General features: G+C 35.3%; 1 pseudogene across 1 annotated transcript; it reads left to right on the plus strand.

Moving 5' to 3' along the window:
• Positions 1-3088: 3088 nt before the first annotated feature.
• On the plus strand, positions 3089-12444 carry OR9H1 (olfactory receptor family 9 subfamily H member 1 pseudogene (gene/pseudogene); annotated as a pseudogene). The gene is made up of 2 exons (NR_172917.1): positions 3089-3174; positions 7643-12444. The product of NR_172917.1 is annotated as an olfactory receptor family 9 subfamily H member 1 pseudogene (gene/pseudogene) (transcript).
• The last annotated feature ends 972 nt before the right edge of the window (positions 12445-13416 follow it).

The raw sequence follows: 13416 nt of genomic DNA on the forward strand, positions 1-13416 counted from the left end.
TGGTTAAATGAGTAAGCTCTTTAGTAGTAATTTGTGAGATTTTGGTGCACTCATCCCCCGAGCAGTATACACTGAACCCAATTTGTAGTCTTTTATCCCTCAACCCCCTTCCCACCCTTTCCTCCCGAGTCCTCAAAGTCCCTGTATCATTCTTATGCCTTTGTATCCTTATGGCTTAGTTCCCACTTATGGTTAGAATGGTGGCCTCCAGCTCCACCATGTTGTGGCAAAGAACATGATCTCCTTCTTTTCTATGGCTGCACAGTATTCCATGGTGTATATGTACCACATTTTCTTTATCCAGTCTATCACTGATGAGCATTTGGGTTGATTCCATGTCTTTGCTATCATGAATAGTGCTGCAGTGAACATGCACGTGCATGAATTCTTCGTGTTACTAATTTTCCCTGACTTAGAAACCTAAATATTAGTGTTATAATGCCAATTTCCAGCCGGGTGTGGTGGCTCATGCCTGTAATCCCAGCACTTTGGGAGGCTAAGGCAGGCGGATCACCTGAGCTAGGGAGTTTGAGATCAGCCTCAACATGGAGAAACCCTGTCTCTACTAAAAATACAAAACTAGCCAGGCAAGGTGGTGCATGCCTATAATCCTAGCTACTCGGGAGGCTGAGGCAGGAGAATCACTTGAACCTGGGAGGTGGAGGTTGCGGTGAGCCAAGGTTGCGGTGAGCCGAGGTTACAGCGAGCCGAGGTTGCACCGTTGCACCCCAGCCTGGGCAACAAGAGGGAAACTCCATCTCAAAAAAAAAATGCCAGTTTCCAAAGATGGTGCCTCAATAGTTAGTTTGGCACCTTAGAAGAAATAGGTAGCAGAATTTCCCTCTGTCCTATATTAGGCATATGCTGTAATAGAAAAATAAAGTTTCATTAAGTCTTAGAAATTTGAGGCTTAAATTTCCATCACAGAATATTGCATTGGATGAATGAAGGATAGTATAGGAGTTAAGCATGAAGGTTGCAGAGCAGTACTCCCCAGTAGAACTTGCTGTATTAATAAGAATGGTCTGTGTTGGTATTGTTTCTTATGTGGAACAACATGTGGCAAATGAGCGCTTGAAAAGTAGCTAGTTTAATAAAAAAGTGGCACTTTAAATTATAGTTAATTTTATTTTATTTAAATTGAGATATAATTGTCCAATATGGCCAGTAGCCACATACTGTAAACTGCAGTTCTATTGTCCAACAATTTGAAACAATCACTGCCCCACAATTATTTGCTTTCAAGCCTTGAGGACATTACCTGAATCTTAAGTGACTCCATTTCTACTTCTGTAAAAAGTATATAAAATATATTATAAAATTTTTATATTGATTAAATAAGTATATGAGTGTGAAAATTATAAAAGATAACCTTGAGGGAACTCTTTAAAATTTTTTTCTATAGTGCTGGTGATACTGTTTCTTGAGATGGGTGCTGTGTATATGGATGCCATCAGTTAATGAAAAACTAATGAATTATATTATTAATATACAAATTCTATAGGCTTTTTTATTAGGTTTAAATATTCTTATTTATTTGATCTAGAAGATGACGATGGAAAAACCTTTCTAGACATTGGTTTAGGCAAAGACTTCATGACCAAGAACCCAAAAGCAAATGCAACAAAAACAGAGATAAATAGATGGGACTTAATTAAGCTAAAAAGGTTCTACACAGCAAAATATATAATTAGCAGAGTTAACAGACAACACACAGAGTGGCAGAAAATCTTCACAATCTATACATCCAATAAAGGACTAATATCCAGAATCTACAATGAACTCAAACAAAAAGCAAAAAAAAACAACCCCATCAAAAAGTGGGCTAAGGACATGAATAGACAATTCTCAAGAAAGGATATACAAATAGCCAAAAAACATGAAAAAATTATCAACACCACTAATTATCGGGGAAATGCAAATAAAAACCACAATGCGATACCACCTTACTCCTGCAAGAATAGCCATAATCAAAAAATCAAAAAGTGATAAATGTAGGCACAGATGCAGTGAAAAGGGAACACTTCTACACTGCTGGTGGCAATGTAAACTAGTACAACCACTAAGGAAAACAGTGTGGAGATTCCTTAAAGAACTAAAGGTAGATCTTCTATTTGATACAGCAATTCCACTACTGGATATCTACCCAGAGGAAAAGAAGTCATTATACGAAAAAGATACTTGGACACACATGTTTATAGCAGCACAATATACAATTGCCAAAATGTGGAACCAGCCCAAATGCCCATCAATCAATGAATGGATAAAGAAACTGTGGTATATATGTATGAAGAAATACTACTAAAGCTATAAAAAGGAATGAATAAATGGCATTCGCAGCAACCTGGATGCAACTGGAGACTATTATTCTAAGTGAAGTAACTCAGGAACGGAAAATCAATGCTTTCTTGATGTTTCAGTCCCTTAATTTTTTAATACACAATTCAGGAAATAATACGCTGTGTATAAATATTTCAAAGATAATATAAGCAATCACTTTCTTGTGTTATATGGGTTAATACCTAACATATATTAACAGCAATTATTATAAGTGCTTTGGATATTCATTGTCATTATAATCAGAAACACATAAAGCAAAGTCCTTACTTCTTGTTCACTACCTATTTTCTATTAAAATCACAGTAACCCAAATATAACTTTAAATGTATTAAGAAATATATCTAAATAATGTATTTTTATCCTTGAATTTGCTTAGGTCATCAGAAATTTAGGCACCTGACAGATGTTATATAGATTTGATCATATGTGTTTATACTGTTCTAGATCTGTGGTCATGGGGCCTAAAGTAAAAGCAGATCAAATTCTATTAAAGTTTTCATCCTCAAAACTGACAAGTATGGTATACTTATTATTGTTTAAAAGATAGGCATCATGATTGGCATCATGTTTTGCTCTCAAATCTTTACTCTGGGACTTCATTCTGCCTTCTTGCCAAGTTATAGCACTTGAGTGAGTCAAACCATTCTTGTTACAATAAAACCTTGGGGAATAAATCTCAAATGACCAACACTGAGGAAAACAATATTATAATTCTCACTCTTATTCCTGGAAAAACAGTGCTGTGGACATTTTGTGTGGACTTCACTAACTGCAGAGTTGATGAGGCACCCGAGAGTCAGCGAGAAAGAGAAAGAAGTCACGCATGAAATTTAGGTGAGATTTGTTTTACTGAGAATGTAACATGATTATACAAAGACCCTGTAACCAATTCAATTAAATGGATATAAATTCTAGTAAATTAGATGAGAAATACAAGTCAATCACAGTTTACTGATGAACGCCAATTAATCTATGAAAATGGCAGACCTCAATTAAAACAATATTGGCAGCACTTTGGCAGGCCAGGGCCGAGGAGTTCGAGACCAGCCTGGCCAACATGGTAAAACACTGTCTCTACTAAAAGCACAAAAATTAGCCAGCGTGGTGGCAGGTGCCTTTAATCCCCACTACTCAGGAGGCTGAGGCAGGAGAATCGCTTGAGCCAAGGAGGCAGAGGTTGCAGTGAGCCGAGATCACACCACTGCACTGCAGCCTGGGTGACAGAGTGAGACCCCATCTCTAAACAAAACAAAACAAGACAAAACAAATAGTATTGGTCAATAATGGACTCAATAATAATATTAATACTGACTTAGATTTTATTTACTATACTAAAAACAATAATGACAATATGTGCATTGCACTTACATTGTACTAAACATAATATTATTAATAATGGAAATACTTACATTGTGCTTCTTATTTACCAAGAGATCTCCAAAGTACTTTCATCTATGAAATGCTTTAGCCCTCACAATGAAGCACATGCTTTTAATACTTACATTTGACGGGTCAGACTAATAAAATATAAAAAGAATGAGGCATTTGTCCAAGCGAGTACAAGTGTTTGAACCCAGGGCTTCTGGCCCCAGAGTTCTTGATGTTAACCACTGTATTCCATTGACTCTTTGTAGTATAGTGCCCATATCACTGTGTTTCTTTCACACGAGTAAAATGTATTTCTACAACATCATGTATCATCGTTATTTAAAAGCACGTAGACCAATATTTAGATCTTTTAAGTTGAGGATCACTGATACAAATTTAAAATACAAGTGTATCATAAAAATAATAATGCTTTGATTTCATTTTGTATATGTAAAAAGACAAAATTTAAAATTATGAACAGTTTATTCCTGTCTCTAATAAATAGGCATAGTGGTGTGGGTTCTGGAGCCAAATTGTCTGAGCTCACAGTGTGACTTCCCTGTTTATTAGTAGTATGAACTTGGATAAAGCCTCTGACTTTCTCAATCTTGTTTTTCCTCTCTGTACAATGAGAGTAATTACAGTAAAACCTCATATGGTTTTCAGAAGAATCAAATGACCCAGTGTTTCTATAATGGTTAGGCCCCTGCCTCGGATGGGAAATCTGCTCAATCCATCTTACTACCGAACATCACAAAGCACATTGCTCAACTTTTTCATCGGGCTATTGGCTGATTAGGAGCTAGAAATGCATTTCCTGATTTAGCGTTCAGGGAACACTCTAACATTACATTGATTTTTCACACCATCATATCCTCAAATATTCTTTCACTTATAAGTTGGTATTTTTTATAATATTAATCCAAAGAAACACCGAAGTATTGTGACATCATGGTTAATGTTTCATTAGATTTTCCACCTTATTTCCACAGATATAACAAACAGATAGAGTAAGATATAATACAATGAAGAAAAAGTAATAGTATTAACAATGAATGAATCTTGGCAATCAGCTATTTCAAGGCTTCTGTCTCAGAAGGTTTTATGCATATATTTCTCATCACAAAACTCATTATTGACCTAATCAGAATTAGATACCATGCTTGATGACTTGCATTGTGCTACCTCTTAAGATAGTGGGATTCTAGTGAGTACAATGAATGTTTTGCACCAAGGGATAATGATCCAGCAAAAAATCCGAAACACATTAGCACACAGCATTGCCAGAGACACTGATCCTGACATGTGGGCTTGGATTAAAACAATGGCAAGTCAATGAGAGGGCAAGAGAATAGGCCCTGGAGTCAGGCAGAAAAACTCGGTTATTTTCTAGAAGGAAAACTTGGAACATTTCTTAATTTCCCCTGTAGAACTTACTAATATTAGCATGTGGCACATAGGGCTTCTGTGAACATTAAATAAAATAACACCATTTAAACATTTTTTAGATTGATTAGCCTATAGCAATTGTCCAATAAATGTTAGCTTTTTATCTCAGAATTAAGTTTGTGCTCTTTTATTTTCTATATCAGTTTATTAGATTGGTGCAAAAGTAATTGTGGTTTTTGCCAATGTAATATTAATTAATAATTAATCACCACTAATATTACAGTGCAACCATGAATACTCATATCAAAGCACCCAAAACTGGGACCTTCGGTTAAATGAATGTTAAGTCCTCCAGTGTTCAAAAAAGCAAAAATCAGGTACATAATTTTTCTGTGGTTGTTGCTGATACTTCCTTTTGTTTGTGAGATTCTGTTGCACTGATTTTTCTAGGAAAATGAATGGCCTTTGGTGAGATGAGAACATGCATTGCTTCTCTGGGAGTCATTTAGTTTACACCACTCTAGAATTTGCCTCCTTCTAAGATAAAATAATACTATCCACACCTTGTTTATTGGATCCCAAAAGTGCAGCAGCATGCACTTATGACCATAAGCTGTAACTACTGTTTAACATAAAAATGACTTGCTTTGCTTTCCTTAAGCATGGAATGGCTTTGTGATTTGTTTGTTTCTACTTAGACTTTACTTTAGATCTTGGACTCTAGACTTCCAACAACATAAACTCTAATACTCAAAGTAACAAATTGTATTATACTCTGCCCATTATGAAAAGCATGTGAAATCAGTTCCACTCATGAAATCAATTCCATTCATTGAGGAATCATTTATTCATTCACTCAATACATTTATTTGAGTCTTGAATCTCAGCCAAGTGTTATTCTAGTTGCTCAAGTTTGATCAGTGAAGTAAACAGCACAATCTTCTCTTGGAGCCTGAAGCTTACATAGAAACAGTGTGCTCTCATATTAGTTAGGCTAAATTATCAGAACACAAGGAAAAGTCAAAAAATCATAGAAGTATGATTACAGTTTCATGAAATCCCAAAGATCTGGAGAATTGAAAGTTGTAATGAATTTTTAAAAAAAGTTTCTGATACCTTCTCACTGAGAAATAAATTAATTAAGAGTTATTTAATTAATGGTACAAATTTTATGAACCATGGTACAGTTCATAAGAAAAGAGAGCAAATTCATCTCCATTTTGCATTTATTCTGAATAAAAATGTCCATTTACTCTGTCTTTGAATCTTCCCAGGGTATGTTTATTTCCATTTTGTATAGAGTAAGAAACAGTATCAGGAAATTTCCAAATGACAAATTACCACACACATGCAAACACACACACGTATACATGCACACTTACACACATATGCATTGCTCTATCCCATGCTTCCTATTCCACAGATGGAAGTCACTCCCCACAATGGAATTCCAACTTATTATAGTTCAAGTAGTCCTAAGGTAAACTGCCTAAATATATTATTGTTTTGTATATAATATTTAATAAATAATGGAATGTACGAGAGAGAGAGCTATTATAGGTAAAAAGAAATAAAAATAGGTTGATAATCACTGATTTAGAAAGAAGCCACATCAATGATTACAATAAAAAGGTCTAATTTGTATCACAAACCTAGCACATATTGTTAGATTTCTTTCACCTTATAATATAACCAAAATGTCATAAATCGATTCAAAATATATCAAACAGATAGTATGGTAGGATAAAGAGTGCCCTTCCAAGATGTCCATATGGTAAATTATGAAGCCTGTGGATATATTACCTTACATGGTAAAAGGAAATTTGCAGATGTGAATATTAAAAATGTTGAGATGAGATACCATCCTGGTTTATCTGGAAGGATCCAATGTCATCACTAAGGTCCTTCTAAGAGGGAAGTAGGATGGTCAGGTACAGGAGATGTAAGACCAGAGGCAGAGGTTGGAGAGAAGATGCTGTGCTGCTGGCTTTAAAAGCAGAAAAAGGGGCCATAGACCATTGGATACAGGTGGACTTCAGAGGCTGGCAAAGGAAAGCAAACACATTCTTCTCTGGAGCCTCCAAAAGAAACATGAGCCTGCTAACATATTATAGGCCTTTAAAGCTTACTCTGCACTTTTGTCCTCTGGAACTGTAAATTAAATAATTCCTATTGCTTAAAACTATTAAATCTAAGATAATTTGTTTTAATAGTACCAGGAAACTAATAGAAATGTGACCAAAAACTCTAAGTTAATTGATTTTACAAACATAATCAACTCCACTTGCCAGCATCTCCCTCAGCCCAGATAACAATTCTTGTAAAGAAAAACTAACTAAATAGTTGAGTCTCAGGTGTCATCATGTCTTTCTGCTCTGATTTTGAGACCTCTTTAGATTAAAAAAAAAGCTAATGATGTGGAGTGAAAAAAATTACTCAAAATACATGAGTATTTTGAGATTAGAGTTGAATTATATGGAGCCATATTTATAGAGGCAGACTATTTCTACATAAATGATTTATTTCCCATTTCTTTCTCTTACAGCTGAACTTTTCTCTTTACATGAAATACCAAACACAGCAGACCAAGACATTATTGCATTAAATAATTTTTGCGTTGGCTTATAAGTGTTTTCCTTCTTCCTCCTCCTCCTCTCCCATCTCTCTCTCTCTTTTTCTCTTTCTCTCTCCCTCCCTCTCTCTCTCATTCTCTTTCTCTCAGCACTTACACAATGGTGAATTTTACACATGTCTCAGAATTTGTTCTACTTGGGTTCCAAGGGGGTCCCGGGATGCAGGCTATGCTATTTCTGATTTTTCTGATCCTGTATGGCATAGCTGTGGTGGGAAACCTTGGCATGATTGTAATTATCTGGGTAGATGCACACCTCCACACCCCAATGTATGCCTTCCTGCAAAGCCTTTCATTGTTGGACATCTGCTATTCCTCCACAATTGCACCCAGGGCTCTGGCGAACTCCATGCAAGAGGACCACACAATTTCCTTTGGCGGATGTGCTGCTCAGTTCTTTTTCTTGTCTCTCTTTGGTATCACAGAGGCTTTCCTCCTGGCTGCCATGGCCTATGACCGCTTCATCGCCATCTGCAACCCTCTTCTGTACTCTGTGAGCATGTCTCACCAGGTCTGTGTGCTGTTAATATCAGGATCCTACTTGTGGGGTGTAGTCAATGCCATTGCTCAAACAACCATGACCTTCAGGTTGCCTTTCTGTGGGTCCAATGAGATCAACGACTTTTTCTGTGATGTTCCCCCACTCTTGTCCCTCTCATGTTCAGATACCTTTATAAACCAACTGGTTCTTCTTGGTTTATGTGGCTCCATTATTGTCAGTACCTTTTTGATTGTCCTGGTCTCATACATTTACATCATCTCAACAATTCTGAGGATCCCGACCATGCAGGGACGCTAGAAAGCCTTCTCCACGTGCGCTTCCCACCTAACAGGAGTGTGCTTGTTTTTTGGTACTGTTTTCTTCATGTATGCACAACCCAGTGCCATCTTCTTCATGGAGCAAAGTAAAATAGTGTCCATATTCTACACTATGGTCATCCCCATGCTGAATCCCCTGATATACAGCCTGAGGAACAAAGAGGTCAAGCAGGCTCTGAGACGGAGCATGCAGAAGCTGTCTTTGTGATCACCGTCTCCATGGATCTCCTCAGTCATCCTGGACCTCGCCCCAAAGCGCTGCTACCCATGGAGGTTATGTCTTAGGAATATGGCATTCCAGGGCTTCTTAGTTTCTTTCTTGAAGTCTGTGATCCAGAAGACCAAGGGTATTTTAATTGTCTTTATATGTTTAACGATAAACAAAATCAAGGCTTATGAGGAATAAAATGCAGACTGGCGGCGACTGAATAGACGGATATATATGGCTTTTTTGTCTCACATATTACATAGTATCTTGGTCCAACTCCGTCAGAAAACAATTATGTAAAAATTGTATATTTTATTTAGAAAATAAATAAAATGTTTATCTTGAATGTAGCTTACCAAGTACAAATATGGATCCTACACAAAGGAAAAGAAAAATAAAATGCTTTAATATTTTACCTAAAACATTTAGAAATATATAAATTAGTAATTCGTATTTTTCATGTTAAAAATAAATAACAAATTAGAAAAAATATTATTAAATTCTATTTTAAATAGCTTTTATGGAGGTATAATTGACACACAAGAAATTCGCATGAAGTGTATAATTTGTTATGTTTTGACTTATGTAAACACTGGTGTGACCATTCCCACAATCAAGATAATGAACATATTATTATGCCAAATCACACCAACTGGTTCCTTGGTTCCTTCCTAATGCTTCCCTCACTTTAGCCATAAACAACCCTCCTCCCAGGAAACAACTGATCTGCTTTCTGCCACTATAGATTAGTGCACATTTCACTTAAATTGAACTATAAGCCATGTAATCTTTTTGAGGGGGTGGAATTAGACTTGGAACGGTGTAACTTATTTTACTTAGTATAATTAGTCTGAGATTTATACAACTTGTTTCATACCTCAATTGTTTGTCATGTTTATTACTGGAAAATATTCCATTGTAAGAATATACTACAATTTGTTTATCGATTTATGTGTTCATAAACATTTGAGTTGTTTCTAGTTTTCGGCTATAACAAATACAGTTGTTGGGCCGAGAGTGGTGGCTCACATCTGTAATTCCAGGTGTGATATAAAGGAAAATCTGCAGAAGCAAATGCAGAAATAAGTATCATGACATCTTTCTGCCTTTATCCAATATTAACTTATTAAGCATCTACTGGGCATGCTATTTGAGGAGAAGCACGAATGAATAAAACTCATATTTCACTTTAAGAATATCACAGTACAGTTGGAGAATTTACTTTCATAAACACAACATCTCAAGATTTACACTTGGAAGTCATCACAGTAAAATCAGAGTAATAAACATACATTGAAACATTAATGCATCAAGGTCTTAACTGCCTGGATGCAGACATAATATTTTAATTATGAAAATTTCACTTTCAGTAGAGGAATGAAAAACATGGAAACTGTAAAAAAAAACAATAATGAATTAATTTATTTAATTAAGAGTTTGAGCAAATATAATTTTCTAAGCTCTAAACTGTTGGGATACCAAATTGAATAAACTTTTTTCCTCAGAAAGCTCAAGTATAGTAAATCATTGTTAGAAATTTAGTATTATTAGTGCTGACATAGGATAAGTTTATATGTATAGTACCATGCAAATTCAAATTGTGTTCAAGTATTGAAAACAGGGGGCCAAGGTGGCTTCCCAGAAGAGATGGCACCTCTGTCATAGTTTATTAACATCTGTATGTTCCCACTCCTTACAGATTTCTTTATCTTTTGAAGGGTTCATAGTCTAGTAACTCTCATTCCTCGCACAGCATTTTAGAAATTAAAAGCTTCCAATTACCTTGAATATAAAAATATGTGCTTCTGCCATCATAGATATATACTGCTTAATGCTTTCTTGTACTGAAACCAATTCAAAGAAATACGAGAGAAGAAAAAAAGAAAAACACAGGGAGAGAGAGTGAAATTTCAGCTTCCACTGAGAAGTGAGATTCTAAAAGATGGAATCTTTGAGTCTCAAGCTATGACTCAGTATTCTCAAACACAATTAGATAGTTGGTACGTCCTTTTCTTCTTGGATAGGATATATTAATAAGATATCTTTATCCTGACTTATCCATGAAGGAAGAATTAATAAGTAAGATGGGGGTGCTCGTATTAACTTATTGGACTCAGTAACCAACTATGAGATGTGAGTGCTGTTGCCCACTATAGAATCATAATTAGCATTTCTCTGACACAAGTGATCAAATTTTATATTTTGAATTAATCATTTGGGTGTCCTCTTTTGTGAAGTGATTGTTTAAACCATTTGCCCATTTTAGCTGGATTGACAATCTTTTCCACTTTTTTAAAGATATACTTTATATATGCTGGATATAGGTTTGTTTGCCAGATGTATACACGACAAATATCTTCTTACAGTTTTATGCCATGCTTTTTCTTTTTTTTTCTAATAAGAATTTTTATTTTATTTTATTTTTTTATTATACTTTAAGTTCTAGGGTACATGTGCACAACGTGCAGGTTTATTACATATGTATACATGTGACATATTGGTGTGCTGCACCCATTAACTCGTCATTTACATTAGGTATATCTCCTAATGCTATCCCTCCCTGCTCCCCGCACCCCACGACGGGCTCCGGTGTGTGATGTTCCCCTTCTTGTGTCCAAGTGTTCTCATTGTTCAGTTCCCACCTATGAGTAAGAACATGCAGTGTTTGGTTTTTTGTCTTTGTGATAGTTTGCTGAGAATGATGGTTTCCAGCTTCATCCATGTCCCTACAAAGGACATGAACTCATCTTTTTTATGGCTGCATAGTATTCCATGGTGTATATGTGCCACATTTTCTTAATCCAGTCTATCATTGATGGACATTTGTGTTGGTTCCAGGTCTTTGCTACTGTGAATAGTGCTGCAATAAACATATGTGTGCATGTGTCGTTATAGCAGCATGATTTATAATCCTTTGGGTATATACCCAGTAATGGGATGGCTGGGTCAAGTGGTATTTCTAGTTCTAGATCCTAGTTCTAGATCCACAATGGTTGAACTAGTTTACAGTCCCACCAACAGTGAAAAAGTGTTCCTATTTCTCCACATCCTCTCCAGTACCTGTTGTTTCCTGATTTTTTAATGATCGCCATTCTAACTGGTGTGAGATGATATCTCATTGTGGTTTTGATTTGCATTTCTCTGATGGCCAGTGATGATGAGCAAAACAAGAAATGGGGAAAGGATTCCCTATTTAATAAATGGTGCTGGGAAAACTGGCTAGCCATATGTAGAAAGCTGAAACTGGATCCCTTCCTTACACCTTATACAAAAAATTAATTCAAGATGGATCAAAGACTTAAATGTTAGACCTAAAACCATAAAAACCCTAGAAGAAAACCTAGGCATTACCATTCAGGACATAGGCATAGGCAAAGCCTTCATGACTAAAACACCAAAAGCAATGGCAAAACAGCCACAATTGACAAATGGGATCTAATTAAACTAAAGAGCTTCTTCTGCACAGCAAAAGAAACTATCATCAGAGTGAACAGGCAACCTACAGAATGGGAGAAAATTTTTGCAATCTACTCATCTGACAAAGGGCTAATATGCAGAATCTACAAAGAACTCAAACAAATTTACAAGAAACAAACAAACAACCCCATCAAAAAGTAGGTGAAGGATATGAACAGACACTTCTCAAAAGAAGACATTTATGCAGCCAACAGACACATGAAAAAATGTGGCATGCTTTTTCAAAATTCTTTCAATAAAATTATTAATTCTTCTGATGAATTCTGTAAGTTTAAGAGGTTATTAAATTTAATACAATGCTTATTTCTTGATTTATTCCTTTTATCTATTTTATTATCCCAGTACATGTAACTTACGGTCATGATTTAGCTTACTACAATTAAAAAGAATTTCAAAAAAAAAGTATTCACACTTTTTTTTCATTACAAATATCTTGCTTGTCTGGCCAATTAGTATTCTACAGACACATAATATTTGCTTCTTGAACTCATAAACCTCATCAATATCATTGACTGGTATTTTCGTGCAAATTTTGGATAACTGATAATAGCTTTATGACATTGAAAAATTCTATTCATGAACACAGTATATAATCCTATTTAATTATATTTGTTCATTGTTCATTATATTTTTCACATGTTTATATATTCTGCCAACAAATAATATTCTTGATGCATTATCAAGTGGGATATTAAAAAACATCTCAAAGTTGATAGTGGTATATGAACTTGCATGGCTTTCATGTATTTATCTCAAGAATTCTCACTAACTTTCTAACTTCTCTTAATATCTAAAAACAATGTTCATAAATTATTATAATTATTGATGACAATAACCCAAGTCTACTAAGTCGTAATAGAAGAAATTCTTCTTAGCCATCTTATTTTAGTTCAGTGTAATTAATATTGATCTATTAACTAGATGGAAGAGAAAATTTATTTCACCCTAGTGTCCAGGGGTGGCTTTTTTCTTGAATGGTACTTTGTTGAATATTTTTCTATAGTGAGATAATTTTAGCATTTTATCATGTGTTAATGTGTTAATCTGTTATAATAGGTTTCATTACGTTGATGAAAACTTGCACTACGGGAGTAATTCGAATGTGGTCATGATTTTTTATTGATGTACTGTTTTGTTTTTTATACTGAAACCTACGTCTCCTGTAAGGATTGGCCTGTCACTC

The sequence above is a fragment of the Homo sapiens genome, chromosome 1 (assembly GCF_000001405.40).
Source record: "Homo sapiens chromosome 1, GRCh38.p14 Primary Assembly".
In the NCBI taxonomy this organism is placed as follows: Eukaryota; Metazoa; Chordata; class Mammalia; order Primates; family Hominidae; genus Homo; species Homo sapiens.